Below are 20,244 nucleotides of genomic sequence, written 5' to 3'. Positions count from 1 at the left end.
AGCCTGGGTGACAGAGTAAGACCCTATAAGACCCCGTCTCAGAAAAAAAAAAAAAAAGAAAAAGAAAAAAAGAAGTAGCATTTATCAAAATATTAGTAAGTAATTAGTTCCTCTGTCATCAGAAACATTCAGGCAAACCCTGAACACTCATATATCTAGAAGAACAGAGTTTATAAAGAGGTGGTCTATGGGTTGGTTCTCACCTGCAAAGGTGTTTGGTTTGGACTGCAATGTATTTTTTTTTTTGTTTTTATTTTTTGAGACAGAGTCTCGCTCTGTTGCCCAGGCTGGAGTGCAGTGGCCCAATCTTGACTCACTGCAACTTCCACCTCCTGGGTTCAAACGATTCTCCTGCTTCAGCCTCCCGAGTAGCTGGGACTATAGGTGCGTGCCACCACACCCAGCTAATTTTTTTTTTTTTTGTATTTTTAGTAGAGATGGGGTTTCACCATGTTAGCTAGGCTGGTCTCAATCTCCTGACCTCGTGATCCGCCCGCCTCGGCCTCCCAAAGTGCTGTGATTACAGGTGTGAGCCACTGCACCCGGCCGGTTGGACTGCAATGTATTTTTTAAAAGATTTTAATGAGTCGCCAACAGATTAGATTTTTTGCTTTAAAATTCTTGATTTTGGGTTTATTTTTGCAGAATTTGAAGATCTGGCCACACTGAACCTACATTATATGAATAATGGAGCTCAGCTGTGGCCACTCTTTGAAGACAGAACTCATTTTACATGTAGCTATGTCTTATGCCCTCTTCTAGAGTCTCTTCTCTCTCTTATAGGACTCAACTGGTGCCTCTGTGTTTTTAAATTTGTAGCACTGCCTAAGATTTGAACAGTGGCTGGGAGGCTTGATCAGATGACATTATTTCTAGGGTAATCTGATCCAATCTGATCTTTCCTTATTCTGAGAGCCTGGACTTGTGTTCTGGGATAGAGATCTGACTCGTGGCACAGAGCCATTCACTAAACAGTCCCTGCACACCTACTCCTTGCTAAGCGTTGTTATTCATACTAGAAACTCTAGAATACTAAGCTGGGCTTTAAGTGGTTATATATATGTATATATGCATGCACATAAATACAATGTGTGTGTAAAATATACATAACAATATCTATCATTTTAAAATGTACAATCCAGTGGTATTAAGCACATTCACAATATTGTACAGCCATCACCACTATCATTTCCAGAACTCTTCATCCCAAACAAACTCTACCCATTAAACAATAACTCTCTGTTTCCCCTTCCCCTCTGCTCCTGGTAACCCCCATTCTATTTTTTGTTTCTATGAATTTGCCTGTTCTAGGAACCTCATCTAAGAAGAATCATACAATGTTTGTCCTTTCATGTCTGACTGATTTTGTTTAGCATGATTTCTTCAAGATTCATCCAAGTCCTAGTATATGTCAGAATTTCCTTCCTGTTTAAGGCTGACTAGTATTTCACTGAATGGATATACCATATTTTAGCTTATCCATCCATTTTTCCATGAACACAAGTTGTTTCCACTGTTTAGCTATTGTGAAAAATGCTGCTATGAACATGTGTACACGTATTTATTTGAGTCCTGCCTTCAATTCTTTGGGGGTATACATCTCCTGTTATATTTTAATTCAAATTAAACAATAAATTTCCATCTTTTTTTTCTTCTGGAAGCTCTATGAGGCAATAAAGAGCACCTGGCACTTCCATTTTATAGATGCAGAAACTGAGTTAGCAGCTCTGCAAAGGAAACTAAAGCTGGAAGCTAGGTCCTTGGTGCATGGTCTTTCACACCAGACTGTAACATCCCTACGGACAAGGGTTGTGTCTGTTGCTGTCACTGATGCATCTCCAAGGACAAGTGACTAGAATGCAGTTGATGTGTTTTAAAAGCATAAATGAATATTTTTTTGTGCTTTACGTTCTAACAGAGGCTTTTGAAGAAACTACTGGTGTCTGTATTCCTCTCCTTTTCCACATCCCCTTTCTCTATTTATGAGACACCCCCACCCATGGGACTTGGGCAGACAAGCTGATCCTGAACCATGTCTTCAGTGATAACCACTTCAGGCCTGAGAAAGGTCTCTTTTCAAAGTGCTTCTGTTCACAGTCCCAGGAGTAACGTCTTATTCCCCATCTAGTGTATGGTTTCGTTCAGGCTTCACCCCGGAACTCACAGCAATTCAGGGATCACCTGGCTCCTGGCTGGTGTAAGAGATCTACTGGGGGTGCCTCTGGCATGGGGGGTTTGAGTATCTTTAGCCAGATTTTGTCCAGAAATGTCTAGTGTGCTGCTTGATTTCTGCCCCTCTTATCTCACAGTGCTGTGGTGTGGGGGATTGGGAGCCTCAACCCAAATTCCCTTTTGTTTCAAAATGGAGACAAATGAAATTTTAATGGAGTGGTGAAAATGCTGCCTTTGGTAAGCTGCACTCCTGCCTTAGCATCTGGTTTAGAAAATGGGGGCTCTAAAAGGAGTCCCTGCCCTCTTTTCCTTGGAGGAGCCTCGCTTCGGCTCTCAGAGGAGGTAAGGAGGTGTGGCTTACATCATCTGGGGTCCTTTGTCCACTGCTTCGTGTCTACATAACAACAAAAGCTGTCAATGATGGCACAAAGATGGAACGCAGAAGACACTGTGACTGTCTCATGGGGAGAGTCTGTGTAAGAAAGAAGGCAAGTGGTGGTGAGAAACACACCCAAGGCGTCCATCTCATTCTGCCCCCAGAGCAGTCTGGCTTATGGTTCAGCTTCACCAGGGAAATGTCTTTGACTCTAGTTTAGGAAGGAAGCGCTGAGACAAAAGGTTTGAGGGTGGTGAGGTGGGGTGGAGGTGAGCGTATGCAGGTCTGGCAAAAATAGAGAACTAAATCCATCTATCTATAGCCCGACTGAAGGCAAACAACCATCCCTCTCTCCTCTGAAAGTGAGCAGGGGAAGAGGACGAGGAGAGAGGCAGAGCGCAGGAGGTGGCTTCCCGCGGGCAGCAGAGGGTTAACCCCTCGGGCACCCAAGGACGTCAGAGCTGGTTCTTGTCTGTGGCTTGGATTGAGAGCTTTTATCCCTTGTTATTTTTCCTGATGTCTTTGCTTTTTATTGTGTTTGGATTTCAGGATTTGGCTTGTTATTTTTAATGTTTAATATATTTAGAGGGGAGAAAAAAAAATCCATCCTAGTGAAAGCACAGGAAACCAAGCAGGCCTGAAGGAAGGGTGCTGGGAAGGGGCCCTGGGTATCCCTTGTTCAGCTGAAGAGCAAGGCAGCCACCCTTACCTGGCCCCCTCCCATCCTACATTCTTCTGAGCCCTGAACACTGTAGCCTGGGCAATGGGGCTTCCTGCTTTGGAGACCTGTTCTCACCCACTAGTCTGTGATGGGGACCATCATCCATGGGTGCTCCTCTAAGATGCACCATTCTCCTGTACAACAGTCTGAGCATCTGCTGGGCTGGGAGGCAAGGAGATCCCAGTACCTGCATCCCTCCCTCCCCTGCAGACCCACTGGGCGAGGGCACGAAGGAGGAGGACACAGTCTCTCTGAAAGTGACGAAAAGGACGTGGAGCTGCCGCCGAGGAAGGCAGAGGAGATCAGGTTTGAGAAATGAGGGAAGAAGTAGTATGGGGTATTCAGCAACAATTTAGAACTTCTTAGACAGCTGTTTATAAGATATTTATAACAGGAAATTATATATATTAGAACATGGAGAGAGAGGGCACATTCAACCTATGGCCATATGGGTCAGGATGTTCCATAGCCAATAGGCTCCACATCAGAGTGGTTGGTCTGAAGCAAAAAGCACTGAGCACTAATGTCATGTGAGAGAAAGGTGAGGTGGTGCTTGAGTATGGTATCAGGGAGCCAGGTAAATGAGATGGAGATAAGGAGACAGAGCTAATTGAACCCCAGAATCCCAGAGATGAAGAAATGCATGAGGGTGTCTATTCCTGCATGAGGGGGTCTGCTCCTCAGAGCAAGAGCAAGAATTGTGTGGGCCTACTTCCCTGAGAGGCAGGATCCCGTGGGATTGCGTAGTTTGGGCCCTAGGGAGATACCTGGGGAATGGAGAGTATTTACCTCCCAATGGAACCTTGTAACTAGGAAGCCCTGGGAAGCCACAGGAATTGCAGGGGGTGAGTTGGGGGCTTGAAGGCAAGACCAAATAGCACTCGCATCTTACTCTTATATGGAGTAACTCTGACAGAGAAAGCAAACCACTGGGAGTGGTCAGCTAGTGTTAAAGGTCAGAGCCAGTACATTCAGAAAAACCTGAAGACTCCACCAAAAAATTGTTACAACAGATAAATTCAGTAAAGTTACAAGATACAAAATCAACCTACAAAAATCAGTGGCATTTCTATATGCCAACAGCGAACAATCTGAAAAAGAAATAAAATAATTCCATTTACAACAGCTACAAATAAAATAAAATAACTAGGAATAAACCTAACCAGAGAAGTGAAAGATCTCTACAATGAAAACTATAAAACATTGATGAAAGAAATTGAATAGGACACACAAAAAAACGAAAGATATTCCATATTCATGGACTGGAAGAATCAATATTGTTAAAATATCTATATTACCTAAAGCAATCTAAAGATTCATTGCAATCCTATCAAAATATCAATGACATTCTTCAAATAAATAGAAAAAATAATCCTAAAATGTATATGGAACAACAAAAGACCCGGAATAGCCAAAGCCATCTTAAGCAAAAAGAACAAAACTGTAGGAATCATATTACCTGACTTCAAATTATACTGCAAAATGAAAGTAATCAAAACAGCATGGTACTGGCATAAAAACAGGCACATAGGGCTGGGTGTGGTAGCTCACACCTGTAATCCCAGCACTTTGGGAGGCCGAGGCAGGCAGATCACTGGAGGCCAGAATTTCAAGACCAGCCTGGCCAACATGGTGAAACTCCGTCTCTACTAAAAATCCAAAAAAAATTAGCTGGACGTGGTGGTGCATGCGTGTAATCCCAGCTACTTGGGAGGCTGAGGCAGGAGAATGGCTTGAACCTGGGAGGTGGAGGCTGCAGTGAGCCGAGATTGTGCCACTGCACTCCAGCCTGAGCAACAGAGCAAGACTCTGTCTCAAAAAAAAAAACAAACAAAAAAAACAAACAACCAGACACATAGAACAATGGAACAGAATAGATAACCCAAAAATAATTCTACACATTTACTATCAACTCATTTTTGACAAAGGTGCCAAGAACATACATTGAGGGAAAGACAGTCTCTTTAATAAATAGTGCTGGGAAAACTGGAGATCCACATTCAGAAGAAAGAAACTAGACCCCTATCTTCCACTATAACAATCACATCAAAATGGATTAAAGACTTAAATATAAGACCTGAAACTGTGAAACTACTAGAAGAAAACATTGGGGAAACACTCCAGGACATCAGTCTTGGCAAAGATTTCTTGAGTAAGACCTCAAAAGCACAGGTAAGTGAAACAAAGATGGACAAATGGGATCACATCAAGCTAAAAAGCTTCTGCACAGCAATGGTAACAATCAACAACAACAAACAACAATCAGCAAAGGAGACAAACCACAGAATGGGAGAAAATATTTGCAAAATACCTATCTGACAAGGGATTAATAACCAGAATATATAAGGAGCTCAAACAACTAAGTAGGAAAAAAACAAATAATCTGATTTTAAAAATGGACAAAAGTTTTGAATAGACATTTCTCAGAAAAAGACATACAGATGGCCGATAGATATACGAAAAAAAATGCTCAAAATCGCTAATCATCAGGGAATTACAAACCAAAACTACAGTGAGATATATATCATTTCACCCCAGTTAAAATGGCTTTTATCCAAAAGACAGGCAATAATGAATGTCGGTGAGGATGTAGAGGAAGGGAAACCCTTGTCCTGTTGGCTGGAATGTAAATTAGTACAGCCACTATGGAGAACTGTATGGAGTTTCCTCAAAAAGCTGAAAATAGAGCTACCGTATGAACCAGCAATTCAATTGCTGGGCACATATCTAAAAGATAGGAAATCAGTATATGGAAGAGATATCTGCACTCCTGTGTTTATTGCAGCCACTATTCGCAATAGCTAAGACAGGGAAGCAACCTGAGTGTCCATCAACAGATGAATGGATAAAGAAATGTGGAACATATAAACACTGAAATAGTACTCAGCCATAAAAAGAATGAAATCCTGTCATTTGCAACAACAGGGATGGAACTGGAACATGTTAAGTAAGAAGCCAGGCACAGAAAAACAAATATCACATGTTCTCACTCATATGTGGGAGATAAAAAAAAAAAATTGAACTCATGGAGATAGAGAGTGGAATGATGGTTGCCCAGAGGCTGGGAAGGGTAGCAGGGAATAGATGATAAAGTGGAGATGCCTCATGGGTACAAAAATACAGTTAGATAGAATGAATACGATCTAGTATTTGGAAGCACCATAAGGTAATTAAAGTCAACAACAATTTATTATATTTTAAATGTTACCTAACAGAGTAGAATTGGAATATTCCTAACACAAAGAAGTAATAATGGCTCGGGGTGATGAATACCCCATTTACCCTAATTTCATCATTAAATGTTGTATGCCTGTATCACATGTACCCCATAAATATATACAACTATTATGTACTCGTAATAATTTAAAAAAATCAGAGCTGGGTCTTCTGAACAAAGACTTCCGTGATAACAAATGAACTTTCTACCAGGAAAAGAGTATATCCTGAGGGGGAGGTGGGGATAGTTTATGGCTACCAAAAAACTAGAAAGAATGAATAAGACCTACTATTTGATAGCACAATAGGGTGACTGTAGTCAATAATAACTTAATTTTATATTTTTAAATAACTCAAAGAATGTAATAGGATTGTTTGTAACTCAAAGGATAAATGTTTTAGGGGATGAATACCCCATTCTTCATGATGTGCTTATTTCACATTGTATGCCTGTATCAAAACGTCCATCTTATGAAGCCCATTAATAAATATACCTACTATGTACCCACAAAATAAAAATAATAATAATAAATCTTTTTTAAATGAGTACATCTGAAGGGGAACATGATGATGATGCTTGACAGGAAAATTTTTCACCTGATCAACATAACTAAAAACTGAAATTTGAGAGAAAGCAGAAAGGATGAATACCTGTCTTCCATGATAATTGGATATTGTTGAAAACAAGCCTGGCATCCCTGAAAAATAGAAGCAGCAGCAATAACGATATTTCTGTGGTCTTAGTGTGGGGCTGGACACCTTTACTTTCTCCTCTGGATCTTCGGGCCATCTACTGACTGGTCTGCCCCAGGCCCTGGAGGCTGATCTTTATGGATCCATCAAAGGGCTCTCAGGGCTTCTGGCTTTGATGGGGTTCAACCAATCAGAGTCAACCAGCAGGAGACTGGAAAGTGGGAGGAGAGTGAAGTCAGGATATTTATTTTCTGGCTGCCTCCCAGCTGGGTCTCCTTATGCTGGCTGCATCTCTCTTCTGAGACCACAGCTCCCATCATGTTGGGCTCTGCTGTGGCAACTCTTCTCAGTCTGGTATCTACCCCTCTTCTTCCACCTTCGGGTGTTGGCATAGTAACAGATCCCACTGTTGCTAGCTCCATCCCTTGCTGGTTTCCCTTAGCCCTGAACACACCACTTAACCAGTTCCTTTATTAAACTCTCTGCAGTTACCCATCTGAGAGTGCCGTCTGCCTCCGCCTGGACCCTGACCAATACAATAATCTAATAAATGATATAAAGTTGAAATTGTAACATGAGGCTGGTAGGAATGCAAAGTCTTCACCAAGACTTGGTTGGATGAGGCTTTTGACAAGAATTCTATGGTAGTAGGAATTCCCTTCATGCAAATAAATTGGTGTCATTGCAGTGGGTCAAAGAGTAAAACTAAGTTCATTCATTTATTTAAAGAAATATTTATTGAGTCTCTGCTGTATGCCATGCACACTACAGTAGGGACTGGGGAGTCACTGGGGGGCAAAATGGAAAAGGGTCCAACCTTATGGTATTTTCAGTCTGGTGAGAGAGAAAAGCATTAATCACATGATCACAAATATAAATATATAGGCAGAAACTATGACAAATCCTTGGTGAGATAACAAGTTTCCCTGAGAGGATCTAATAAGAGGCTAATAAAGGGTCAGAGAAAGCTGCTTTGAGAAACTGACAGTTGAGCTTAGCCCGGCAGAGGGCAAGGGGGGCAGAGCAAAGGTCTTGTAAGCAGAGGTTGAGCACATCCAAATTCTGAGGCTGGGAGGGTCTTACAGGCATCTAGTGAATCTAAGAGAGGCTTCTGCAAGTTGAAATTTGGTTTTAAGTGCAATAGGGAGGCATTGCTGAGTTTTGAGCAGGAGAGTAGCATGATTTAATGTAATGAAAGCTAGTGGAGGCACCATGGCGCATACTGGTGGGGAAGAAAAGAGAAACAAGGGATGTTGCTCTGGGAGTTCCCAACTCCTGGCCTGGCTTCCAGTGTTGTGCTACTGTCCTTTCCAGGAAGTCTTGAATCTAGCTGAGAGGCAAGAGGCCAGCTGGGCTCATTGGCACAGCCATTGGGTGCACTATTCTGTCATAAACATTGTAGTGGATTTAATTCTTGGCCTGATACGCTTTTTCAGAAAGACGAGAAAGCAGGAGGGGACCTGTTACTTGGGACCCAACTCTGATGAACAAAGAAGAAACTGGTGAAGTGGAAGTATCTGGAGGAAAAGGGGAAGTTCTAGGGAGAAAGGGACTTGTGATCTTGTGGTGCATGTGCGCATGTGTGTTTGTGTGTGTGTGCATGCGGGGTGTGTGTGTGTGAGAGAGCGGCAGAGAGAGACAGAAACAGAGAGAGAAACAGAGAGATATGCTAGAAAAGCAAAGCTTACAGACTTCAGGAAGAAAATAGGAGTTACTAGCTTCTGGCTAGTGATTCAAAGAAAGAAAGTGACTTTCAGGCACAGGAATCATTACTGTATGAGTTTGCTAGGGCTGCCATAACAAGGTGCCATAAACTGGGTGGCTTAAACAACATACAGTTATTGACTCACAGTTCTGGAACCTACAAGTCTGAAATCAAGCTGTAGGCAGGGTTGGCTCTTTCTGAGGGCTAGCAGGCCAGGGTCTGTTGAACGCGTCTCTCCTTGGTATATAGGTGGCTGCCTTCTCGCCTTCTCGCTGCCTTCTCACTGTGTCTCCCTGTTGTCTTGCCTCTGTGCGTGGGCTTGTGAGTACCTGCATGTCTGTCTCTGTGTCTACATTTTCCTTTTTTAAAAACTAAGAGCATTAATCTTATTGGATTAGGGCCCATCCTAATGGCTTCACTTTAACTTGATTACCTCCGTAAAAATCCTATTTCCAAATAAGGTCGCATTCTGAGTGAGGTCCTGGGGGCTAGGACTTGAACTTATCTGTTTTTAGGAGGCAGAATTCAACCCATAACAGCTAGCAAATGAAATCCAAGCAGAACTTAACCTATTCTTCCGTCAAACATGCATCAGGTGCCTATTCTGTACCAGGCACACTGTAAGTGTGGTTTTGGCCCTGAAGGAACACTGGACTTGTGGTAGAATACTGATATGCAAAACATGTAATGCAGGTTAACAAGTGCTGTGATAAGTCTTTCTACCTCTATGACACAGTAATAAATGAAAGCTTAATGTAAAATTAGAGCTAAGTTCAAGTATGCGAAACAGTGGTGGCACAAAGAAAGGGTGGTCAGCTCTACTCAAGGGAGTCATGTGCTGAGTCTCTAACATGACAAAGGAGCGGCCCAGGCAAAGAAGAGGAAGAGAGTTCCATTCAGAGGAGAATCCATGGAGTGGGTGAATGTGTCATGTTCTTGTGGGTAAAGGTAGAGCTTCAGGGTCATTGCAGAGAGATGAGGTTAGAGAAGCCAGATCATGAAGCACCTTGTATTTGGACTAGGAATGTGAACTTTATTCTGGAAGCCTTGCCAGACGTGTGTGGGGTAGGGTGTGTGTGTGTTCAGGGGGTGGGTAGTGGAGATCATCTAGGTAGCAGGATTTAAGGAAGGGAGTGATGTTATCAGATTTGACTTCCGTGTGGAGAATGAATTGAGGGGGTTGTGAAGGGACTCAGAGAAGCTAGTGAGTGGGCAGAAGCAGAGTACAGAGAGAGAACAGAGGGCTGGACCAGGACAGTAGGGATAGAGAGTACAGAAACTGTTGCAGAGTATTAGTGATAGAACTGAAATCTGTTAGTGACAATGTATTTATGAAGGACAAGGAAACAGGAAACTTAGGATGACTCCTGGCTATCTGGTTTTAGGGTCTGTGTGGACAGTGATGCCATTCACAAGAAAAGCACTTAAGGAGGAAGTGTAAATATTGGAGGAAGAGGAATTCTGATGTGGACATGTTGAGATTGAGATGTCTGTGGGAGATTGAGGTAGAAACGCATGCCAAAAGTTATTGGGCTTAAAGTAGACAGTTGTTAGATATACAGTCTGGAAGTCAGGGCAGAAATCCAGGTTAGAGATGTATACCTGGGAGTTGTCAGTAGTTGAAGTCATGGACTTGGATGAGGTTGGCTAGGGCGAACCATTAGAGTGGAAAAACCATGTAGGGCTCAGGAACAAAGCCTTGAGGAAAAGTGCATTCCTTGAGGAAAAGTTCAAGTGGGACAAGGAGCCTCCAAAGGATATAGAGCTGGGGTGTCCAATCTTTTGGCGTCGTGGGCCATATTGGAAGAAGAATAATTGTCTCAGTTCACACATAAAATACACTAACACTAATGATAGCTGATGACCTAAAAAAAAAAAAAAACAAAATCTCATAATGTTTTGAGAAATGTGTTGGGACGCATTCAAAGCCATCCTGGACTGCATGCAGCCCATAGGCTATGGGTTGGACAGAGACCAACCAGATGATTCTGGAGAATGTCCTGGGGAATGTGTTGTCATGATGGTTATGGAGGAGAGAGACAATGCTGTCCAGTGCCCCAGAGAGATTAGGTAAGGAAAGAGATGAAAAGAATCTTTGGATTTGGCCATAAGGTGTTCATTGGTTACTTCACCGAAGTCAATTTCAGTGGAAGGAGGGCAACAAAGGTTAAATTGCATGGACAGAGGAGTGAATGGAAGGGGAGGAAGTGGAGATTAATAGTATAGATGATTCTCATAGAAAGCTTGGCAGACCCTGGCTAGAGGGAAACAAAAGATTTAGTTTTTTTGCTTTTGTTTTTGTTTTTTGTGAGAAAAGCTTGGTGGTGTTCTATAATGAATGAACAGAATAACAAGAGTGAGAAGTTCAAGAAACAGGGGAAAAGGGGAAGATTTGTGGAGATGGAAAAAGATGGAATCCACAGCAGAGATGGATGGGTTACTCTTGTAAGAAAGAGATGGATGGGTTACTCTTATAGGAAAGATATAGAAGAGGAGGTGGGGGTGAGTCCAGAGACCTTACATGGATAGGCAGAAAGTTGAGAAGTTTCTTTTTTGTAAATTTATTTATTTATTTTACATATAGCTATAAACAACATTTTGAAACTTTTTTAATATTCAAAGATTGATTACAAACTTCATTAAATTCCCTTCCATTTAAACTGTAATTACAAATTTAATATGATTCTTTTCAATATACTTATTTTTTTTTGAGATGGAGTCTTTTTTTTATTTTTATTTATTTATTTATTTATTTTATTATTATTATACTTTAAGTTTTAGGGTACATGTGCACAATGTGCAGGTTAGTTACATATGTATACATGTGCCATGCTGGCGTGCTGCACCCATTAACTCGTCATTTAGCATTAGGTATATCTCCTAATGCTATCCCTCCCCCTCCCACCACCCCACAACAGTCCCCAGAGCGTGATGTTCTAAATAATCTTGTCTATGTTTTCCCCCCTAAAATGTGAGTAGTGAGTTCATCTCTGGGAAGTAAGATGAGAAATGGTTGGACGGTAGAGAAGAAAATTGATGGGGAGAAGAAACATTTGAAAGCGGGGTATATTAGAGTTCAGTTGCAAATAAGAGTCCATTCTAGCTATTATAAACAGAAGAGGACTTAATACAGTGAATTGGGTGCTTACAGAATCACTGGAAGGGCTAGAGGACCAAACTCTAAACTGAGACTCTAGGAATGAATCCAGGACATCTCATCACTGACCTCCCAGAGGAGTTGCTGCCTCTACCACAGTCAAGACACTGAAGAGTCTGGAAGCCAGTACTGGAACTGTTGAATCTGGGAACATTCTCATTAGCTGTGATATGGGAATCAGGAAGCTGTGACTGCAACTTTTGGATACAGAGGGAGGGTTTCAAATTCAAGTCTCTCCAGGTGTTTCTCATAGGCAGACCTAAGTAACAATTTAAACTCTATCTGCAAAGGACTCTGGGAAATTTTTAGATTTTTTTTAAATCTCTGCAGTATAGGAATACACAGTTTTATTTCCCTACTTAAATTCTAATAAAGCAACAACACCAGTAGCAACATGCTCCTACCTAATATAACTATCCTTTATTTCAAACACCCTCCCTTCTATGTAAGCATGTGTTCATCCATTGATTCATAGTAGGTGCCAGAAGTGGTGTTGATATGGATAGTAAATAGACAAGATCTGGAGTAACAGCTACAATTGAAATTACAATCGGATTGTTCTTACATAATCTTCCATCATTCTCCAAGTTCAAGATACATCTGCACAAGCCAAAGAGGTAAGTTAAATGAGCATATGATAGGTATCACTAGGGATTTTCTGGTAAACTGGCTCTTAGAAAAGGAAAAAAATACACCCTGATGTGTACTGTTTGCCAATTGCCATGGTGTAAACACTCCCACCATGGCTGATGTCAAACTACCAACATGACATCACTGAAAATGAAGTTGTGAGGCAGTGTTAAAAATCTCATGGTAACTATTCTCATGAGTAAGTGATAACAACGATAAAAATTCTCATGAGCCTGTACTAGCTGATTCCAGCCCACCGGTGGGTCATCGACCTTGCATTTTTCAAGTCGTCAGTGGTGGCACTAATCTCTGTTATTCTCCTAGAAATGTGACATTGGTTTTGATTTACTGCTTTGTTGGGAAGAAGATTCACTAGGAGTTTTCACTTGGTCCTTCCTATCTTGACAGTCTTTAATCAATAGGTCAGGAAGTCAGTGTGGAGAACCTGCCTATTACTGAGTATATATATTCCAACTATACATTCAGGACCTGGAGAGATAGCTACAGATGGGTATGCATCTATTTGGCCCAATATGAAATGGTTTGGGCCCAAAAGCCATTAGTTTCCTGACTCCCATTAATTCCCACTCAACCCAAGGCCAGGGACAAGCATCAGCTCAAAGCCAGTAATAAGCACTGAAAGTGTGGTATTTCTCTTTTCTCAGTGCAGAGTCACTCTACTAAATGACAATTCCCTTGGGGGAAAATTGGGAGGAAGATTTACAATATAAACTTGCACTGTCATATGCTACAGAGTACGCAGTATTTCTAGTCACCTGACTTTAGTGTGCGAATTTAGTGAAAAGTTATGACCCCCTGATTCTACAATCAAATAGGACCTTAATGCAATACCCTGTATATTTTAGTTTTTGGTATCCACGGTCAATTAGCCACCGGCACAGGTCTCTGTGTGTCAGTCTATTCTGACTACTACTCTGGCCCTGCTGTCTTGAATGTCCACTTCACTTGTGGTCTGTGTGTTACTACATAGTCAATGCTGGGATCTCATTATCCCCATTAAACTTCAGGAACACATGCAATGACAGTATCTCCATCATCATCCCCAGCATATATGCTATTTTGCAACTTAGCACCTTTGAAGGAGGCTGGTATTCTCCTCATCAAAGTGTTTGTCTCTGTCTAGATAAAGGGAGAGTCCTCTGGTCCCTCCCAGGAAATATACAGATGTAACTTGTTTTATTTTGCTTTGCTTTATTTCACTTTGCAGACATTGTGCTTTTACAAATGGAATGTTTGTGTCAACCCTGTGTCGAGCAATCTATCAGCAACATTTTTCCAACAGCATGTGCTCACTTCATGTCTCTGTGTCACATTTTGCTAATTCTCCCAATATTTCAAACTTCTCATTATTATTATATCTGTTATGGTGATCTGTGATCAGTGAGCTTTCATATTACTGTTGTAATTGTTTTGGGGCACCACGAACTGTGCCCATATAAGATGACGAACTTATTCGATAAGTGTTCTATGTGTTCTGATTGCTTCATCAATTGGCCATCTCTCTCCCTCTCCTCTGGCCTCCCTATTCCCTGAAGCACAACACAATTGAAATTTGGCCAGTTAATAAACCTGCGATGGCCTCTAGAACACTTGCATATCTCTCCCTTTAAATCAAAAGCTAGAGATAATTAAGCTTAGTGAGGAAGGCATGTTGAAGCCAAGATAGGCTAAAAACTAGGCTTCTTGTGCCAGTTAGCTAAGTTGTGAATGCAAAGGGAAAGCTTTTGAAGGAAATTTAAAGTTCTACTCCAGTTAACACACAAACAATGGGAAAGTGAAACAGCCTTATTGCTGACATGGAGAAAGTTCTAGTGGCCTGCATAGAAGATCAAACCAGCCACACAATTCGCTTAAGGCAAAACCTAATCCAGATCAAGGCTCTAACTCTCTTCAATTGTCTGAAGGCAGAGAGAGGTGAGGAAGTTGCAGAAGAAACGTTGGAAGCTAGCAGTGATTGGTTCATGAGATTTAAGGAAAAAAGCTGTATTCATAACATAAAAGTTAAGGGTTTGACAGCGAGTGATGATGCCGAACTACAGAAGCTCTGAAGCTCTGGAGCCAGGCATTGACTCCTTCTCTCTAGCTGTGAAACCCTGATATGGTTTGGATTTGCGTCCCTGCCCAAATCTCATGTCAAATTATAATCCCCAGTGTTGGAGGAGGGGCCTGGTGGAAGGTGATTGGATCATGGGATGGTTTAGAAGCTGCAGCAAGTTATCTAGCTAAGATCATGCATGAAAGTGGCTAACACTAAACAACAGATTTTCAATGGAGATGAAGCAGCCTTCTATTGGAAGAAGATACCATCTAGGGGCTTGTATTAGTCCATTCTTGCACTGCTACAAAGACATACCTAAAACTGGATAATTTGTGAAGAAAAGAAATTTGACTCACCATTCCACAGGCCGTACAGGAAGGATGGCTGGGGAAGCCTTAGGAAACTTACAATCATGGCGGAAGGCAAAGAGGAAGCAGGCACAACTTAAATAGGGGGAGGAGGAGGAAGAGAGCAAAGGGGGAGGTGCTACACACTTCTAAACAAGCAGATGTCTGGAGAACTCTGTCATGAGACAGCACTAGGAAAATGGTGCTAAACCATCAGAAACCATCCCCAAGATGCAATCACCTTCCACCAGGCCCCTCCTCCAACACTGGGGATTACAATTTGATATGAGATTTGGGCAGGGACACAAATCCAAACCATATCAGGGTTTCATAGCTAGAGAGAAGGAGTCAATGCCTGGCTTCAGAGCTTCAAAGAACAAGCTGACTCTCTTGTTAGGTGATAATGCAGCTGGTGACTTTAAGTTGAAGCCAATGCCCATTTATCATTCCAAAAATCCTAGGGTCCCTAAGAATTAGGCTAACTCCATCGCCATAAGCAAATCAACACAGGAACAGAAAACCAAATATCACATATTCTTATTTATAAGTGGGAGCCAAACATGGAGTACACATGGGCACAAAGAAGGGAACAATAGACCCTGGGACTGGCTTGAAGGTGGGGGGTGGCAGGGGGTGAGGGTTGTATGCTTGTAGTTAAAGCAAGGATAAGCCAGTCACATGTGATAGATTCAATATGTCTAGCTCCCTAAATCTTTGGAAGTCTTCTACATTATACATAGGAATATTTTGGTATCTCAGTTGCATTTGACTATTACAGAGTCCAGGTTTCAGTTTTATGCTCTTCTCTCCCTACCCAAGCATGGTTAGGACATATTCCTATGCCTATTCTCCAGTTTTTAAATTGGGATATAAATTTGCATGTTTTGGCATGTAAGCATTGTCTGGGTACAACTTTACAATTGGCTCCCTGTGCACAGAGATGGTTTCTAGTCATGGGTCTGGAGGATGTGTAAAGCAGTGGGGGTGGAGAATAGTCATAAAGTCTTCTACCAGGAAGCAGGACCATCTTCATCAGGTAGGATAAGAGGAATTGTTTCCACTGGTGAGAGAGCTTAGTAGAGTTAAGGATTAAGGGTCTTCAGAATTAACTGAGTTCCCCTAAATGTCACCATTCTAATCTTTGGGAATGGTCTTTCCTAATCATTGCTCTAATTTTCACATATGAAATCTGGTGAGGCTATGAATTCAATCTATGTTGTAAATCAGCAACCTATAAGATAAGAATCTGTGTCTAATTTTCAGCTACATCAGCTCACTAGCTCTAAGAGATAAGATATTATTTTAGGACAATCATAAGATGTTCTTTTAGGACAATTATAGGAAACCCCTGGTTCCTGGCTGTATTTTGAGCCATGAATTTAGAACCCTGAGCTTTTTATTATATTACTTTAAACTCTCCTGGATGGTTAGAAGTAGCTAGCCTACCTCATAGACCTCATATTCTTCATGACTGTTGAACTCTGCTATGGCTTTCACCATTTGATCTGCCAAAGCCATTTCTCTTTTTTTATTTTAATTACTTTTTATTGAAAACCGCACTGAACACTAAATGTCCGCCTTTCCAATAAACAAATTACAGTAATGGCAACTCACACTAAAACAAAATATACTTCTGTTAGACATTATTTTTCTGTTTGGGACAATTTTAAAGTTTTTCTTTTATCACAAAAACAGAATTGTACCTGCACAAAGGCTCAAAATAGGCCATCTTTTTAAACAGAAAGGCAATGATTCACAAAAGATTATGAATAGAACATGTAACTAGTTGATACAAATCTAATAGGATTTGTTAAAATAAGTCACATTTAATACATCTGAAGTGTTCTTGTATAAAATATCACATGAAGAAAAGAAGATTTTATCAAAGTCTAAAAAAGTGGGTTTGTTCATTATTCTTCTTGAACTCTTTTAGTTCAAGACTTTCCACTCAATAAAATAGCAGAGGATCTGAAACTGAGAAAATATATTTGAGTACAAATAGCTTGTGAAACTTAATATGTTTTTTTTCATCATCAGAGGGGTTTTACTGAACTTATAACCAACTTGCCTGCTCAGTATACAGTTCAGATGTGAGAGACGCTTCTCTGTACAGGAGCCTGTACTGTCTTCAATCCTATGCGTGCAGGTGTGTACCACAGGGAAAGAGTTTTCTCCCCATTTTGTAGTAATGTGATCTTCCTATTAGCTAGGTAACCAGCCCCTGTAGAATGAAGGGACTAGAGTCACAGCATGGGGATTTCCTCTTAATATTTTTTTGTTTTGATGTTTGAACTCTTGATGCAACATTCTAGAGCAGGGTGTTCAGGACCTGCTGTGCCCAAGGGACTGATAAAGGAGAAAGCTCTACTTATTCTTTGTGATTTGATACACAGATGAAAAACTTAACACATAATAACAGAAGTTGGTCATTAATAAATCACATCCTCATCTTTCCGCGCTTCTGTAAGCAGAGGACATCTTCAGCTTTCTAGCTCTTGCAGTTTTAACACTGCAGCATCAATGATGCATATGTCCAGAATCAGTTAAAAAGACCATCAGATTCTTTTTCTCTTAGTTCATCTATGTTTCACTGTCTCTCGGTCCCAAATGCATCTGAATGATTACTTTTCGGCATTCTCTGCTATTCCTCCTTGGGGTGCTCTCTATTGTCCCCGTGTTTTGTGGACTGGTTGGGAGAGGGCGCTTGGGAAGGATGTGCCACTGTCGGGAGGTTGTGAGTCACTGGGATGCCTCCAGGGATGATCCCTTCCACGGCTGCAGGAAGTCGCCTGGAGCCACACCCACGGTGCCTGGTGGATATCTGTATGTGGCACTATTGAGCTCAGGATGAATTGTTTGCTGGTCTACTGACCAAGGCGCTGATGTGACAAAGAATTCCTTGTTCACACAGTTTCTTAAGCTTTCTGGGATGCGACCTTTGATGGCTCGGCGGAACTCGGTGGCAGCTGCCTCCCTCATCTCCAGCGACACCTGCTCGCTATACCAGGTAGTGTGAGGAATGCAGATGAGATTTGGGGCATCTTTCAATGGACCCTGAGCAAAGCTGTCCCTCGTAATCCTGCCCTCCTTGAGGGCCTGTGCTAAGGCTTTCTCGCCCACCAGGCCACCAGGGGCTGCGTTCAGAAGGAATGCTCCCTGCCTCATCTGCTTTATAGTAAAGTCATTGATGAGGTGGTGGTTATGTTCATTGAGACTGCAGTGCGAGGAGACGCAGTAACTCTGATACAGCAAATCCTGCAGGGTGTAGACCCATTGAATGCCCAGGGACCGTTCTATCCCATCCTGCAAGTAGGGGTCATAAAATATGACGCTGAATCCAAAGGCCTTGGCTTGAAATGCAACTGCCTGCCTCGTGCGACCAAAGCTCATGAGACCCACAGCGTCTACCCACGGATGCGGACCACTCCCAAGGCCACCTCGAGGATTTGCTCCATGCTCTGAACCCACGTCCCTTCCCGCAGTGCCTGGCACACCCACGTGTTCCTCCGGTACAGATTGAGGATGTCGCAGACGGTGGAGTCGGCTGTCTCTTCCAGGGCTCCGGACGGGATGTTGCACACAACAATTCCGAGCTCGCGGCAGCCTTGATGTCCACGTTGTCGTTGCCACTGTCTATCCACACGATCACTCTCAGGGCCTTGAACTTTTCCAGGTCCTCCCTGGTGAGGGTGATGGTGTGGTACATCGTGGCGCCCACGGCTTCATTTAAAACCGTCTGGTGGATCTCCTGCGAGGACTGTGCGTCACAGAAGGCCATGGTGGCCAGGTTCTTCAGGATGGGCATCTCCACGGTGCAATCTCGGCAGTCCAGCAGCACCATCGGGGGTGGGAGTGCAGGGGTCCATTCATGATGCCTTCACAAATTCTGTCCAATCGCTGTCTCTTGACTTTGTGCTTATCCACAAGGGCCATTCCGTATGGAATTTTGCAATTATCAGTTCAAAAGGCAAAGCAGTCCTCTGAGAACTTATGGGAACTCGCAGGAGTCTGAGTGCCTGATGCCACTATGAACCCATTCGCTTGCAACGCAGTCACCATCACACAGTCAATCAAGGAACCTCACCACGACCCCAGGTCTGGAGTGCCTGCAGTCTGTAACGCCAGGGGGTAGAGGCAGCTCCGGCCCCGGGGAGCCAGGTCCCTGACCCTGCTCTGAGCCTCTGAAGCGAGCTGGGGACCCACCCAGGGGTTCCGCGTGGTCTTGAGGCCCCTCCCCTGCTGGGGGCCCCACGGACCAGAGGGGTGCCGGGCACCCGCTGGCGTGAAGCAGCATCCGGCTGGACCCCCGCCACTCCAGTCCCAGCTGGCCTGCCCAGCCCATTCCTTTAAAAAAACTACTCTATTCCATGTGACCACAGATGATACATTAGGACAAAAACTGCTCTATGAAGAGAGAATAACAGAACTCTAACATGAAGTATAGTGGCAAAGGAAACCAGAGAGCTAGATGGAATAATTCACAAAGGACTTTGATATGGTTTGGCTGTGTCCCCACCCAAATCTCAACTTGAATTGTAGTTCCCATAATCCCCACATGTGGTGGGAGGGAATTTAATCATGGGGGTGGTTACCCTCCATGCTGTTCCTCCTGATAGTGAGTTCTCATGAGATCGGAGGGTTTTATTAAGGGGCTTTTCCGTGTTTTGCTCAGCACTTCTCCTTCCTGCTGTCATGTGAAGAAGAACATGTTTGCTTCCCCTTCCACCATGATTGTAAGTTTCCTGAAGCCTCTCCAGCCATGCTGAACTGTGAGTCAATTAAATCTCTTTTCTTTATAAGTCTTGGATATTTCTTCACAGCAGCGTGAGAATGGACTAATACAGACTTTTAGAATAGAGATCTTTGTAGGCTAAGAAGGAAGCCTAGTGGAATGGAAGAGCTAGGAGTTGCAAAGATGACTAATAGTGAGACAGGAGGAGCAAGTTCTTAGAGGGACCCTAACTTCAAATGGGAAGAAGAGTTCAAATGCAGTAGTGATGCTGGGGAATGATCTGGGGACTAGATGGAAAAATATCCTGAAATCAGAGAATGAGCTCCAATGAGTGGATGGATGGGGAAAATGAAAGCTGGGTCATTGTATAAGATATCGGAAAATCAGGAGCCTGAGATCTCAGGGTCAGAGCAGCCCTGAAGGATGACAAGGTCCA

General features: G+C 42.6%; 1 pseudogene; it reads right to left on the bottom strand.

Moving 5' to 3' along the window:
- Nucleotides 1-17,424: 17,424 nt before the first annotated feature.
- Nucleotides 17,425-19,111, bottom strand: CTBP2P6 (CTBP2 pseudogene 6; annotated as a pseudogene).

The sequence above is a fragment of the Homo sapiens genome, chromosome 11 (assembly GCF_000001405.40).
Source record: "Homo sapiens chromosome 11, GRCh38.p14 Primary Assembly".
Taxonomy (NCBI): domain Eukaryota; kingdom Metazoa; phylum Chordata; class Mammalia; order Primates; family Hominidae; genus Homo; species Homo sapiens.
The sequence above is the reverse complement of the archived record's forward strand: the minus strand, read 5'-3'. Positions and strand labels throughout refer to the sequence as shown.